Source organism: Homo sapiens, chromosome 4, assembly GCF_000001405.40.
Source record: "Homo sapiens chromosome 4, GRCh38.p14 Primary Assembly".
NCBI lineage: Eukaryota > Metazoa > Chordata > Mammalia > Primates > Hominidae > Homo > Homo sapiens.
In genome coordinates, this window is record NC_000004.12 from 4,993,894 (window position 1) to 4,995,768 (window position 1,875).

Sequence of the window (1,875 nt, forward strand, 5' to 3'; positions counted from 1 at the left end):
AAGTCGTGTGCCAAGTGACCACCTGTCTTCCTCCTCCTTTTCTCTCCTGGGTCCCTGGACTCCCACACCCTTGGTCCCAGCCACCCTGGTGACCCTGCTCCCTTTCTATGCACCTTTCTGTGACTTCTACACTTGCTGCTTCCTGGCTTGGACATCGCCTCACCCGGGAAAACTCCTATTTATTTCCAATCCCAGTTTCTATGTCCTCCTGCCCGTCCCCACCCCCCAAGAGCCTTGCTGAGGTTAGGAAACTATGAGAAAGGGATTTCTGTGCCCCACAGCAGTGAGGACACCCGCCCTTGGTCATTTCATATTCGATGTTAGCTCAGAGAAACAATACTAGGAGATAACATTTGCCAACCCCCCCGCCCAAGATTCACTCGCTGATACTAATCCAAACTTGTTCACTCACGTGTTTGTTTAATTAACAAATATTTATCGAGCACCTGCAATGAGTTATGTACTATAATAGATGCTAGGGCACAGTCAGGGATGAAACAGACAGAAGTCCTTGTCTCCATGGAGCTGACATTCTGGTTGGGGGAGGCAGCCATTAGGTGAAATGAATAAGTAAACTGTAGACTGTAATAGCAACAGGTGTGGCGGAGAAGAATGAAGTGGAGATGGAGTTGTCAGGTGAGAGCTGCAATTTGAAATTGAAATTCCAGGGAGGATACACAGAGGGAAAACCTGAAGTTGAGGACGTCAGGTGAGCTGCTACCTGGGGGCAGGGAGCTCCCGGGGAAGGCTTGTACGTTCCAGGACAGGCATCTGGGCGCTGTGTGGCTGCATTGTGGTGGGCTGGGGAGAGGTAGGTCCTGAGACCTGAGAGGTGACAGCCCAAAATCCTGTAGGATCCCAGAGGCCATAGCTGGGACTCAGCTTTTCCTCCAGGTGGGCTGGAAAGCACTGGAGGGTGGTGGACAGAGGATGGCGTGGTCGGATTGCAGCGGGATTCCGTGCGTCCCCTGGCTGCCCTGTGCAGAAGGAAAGGTGCAGCGCAAGGCGGGAGCCGGGAGAACAGGGAGAGAGGCTGGAGGCTTGGTCCAGGCTGGGGGCAGTGGGAACAGCGAGCAGGCGCTGGATCTGGGACATAGTCATGGTGCTCAGCTGCTGCAAGGAAGTCATTTTATTTTTAGCCCAGTTATAACGATGAATGAAGTAGGGATGCAGAAAGGTTAAGGTCACTTTGCTAAAAGGCGCTATGTGTGGCGCCCACCCAACCCATGCACCTATCCCTCTCCAGGAGTGAGTCTCCCATGGGCAGGCATGTGCCCCTCACTGGGCACACTGGGTCCTGACACGCAGTGGGAACTCAGCGCTGTTAAATGTGGATTTCACTGAGCCCCACAGGCAGCCCTTTAGGACCTCGGCCCAAGGTCATTCTGGCCAAAGGCCGCTAGAGGGCAGCGGTGCTTTTCCCTCTGCATGAAGTTTGGGACAACGTCCGCAGTCAGCCTCGTCTGGTCCCAGGTCACCACTGAGGGCCTTGCAACTTAAGGGACAGGAACACGATCGGTGAGCACCACCAACCCCAACCCCTTGCCCAAGCCAGGGGAAAGGACCCAGGAGGGAGGCTGGACAGGGCCGTGGAGAACCACAGCATGATCCCCTCCTGGGTCCCCTACTTACACCTGGGAAAGCAGGCAGAGAAGGAGGAAGGGGTTTGCCTAGGTTACCCCGGGGACTCGCTGCTAGACCCACACCAGCCCTTCTCCCAGGCGACCTTTCCTGTGACCCCAGGGACTTCCGTCAGCACAGCTGACCCTGGAAGGCTGTGGGGTTGGGTGTGCTGGGTGCACCAGGTTAGATCAGTGTCCTGAGAACGTCCCTCTGGGTGGAGGAGAGGTGGGTGCAGGGGCCCCGAACAGTCGG

At 55.8% G+C, this 1,875-nt stretch overlaps 1 annotated feature.

The window, feature by feature from the left end:
• Positions 1,437–1,586: an enhancer, noted in NCBI's record as "active region_21235". NCBI's record gives its function as "activates an Ori minimal core promoter by ATAC-STARR-seq in GM12878 lymphoblastoid cells {active_cell/tissue: GM12878}" and the evidence as "EXISTENCE:reporter gene assay evidence [ECO:0000049][PMID:35858748]".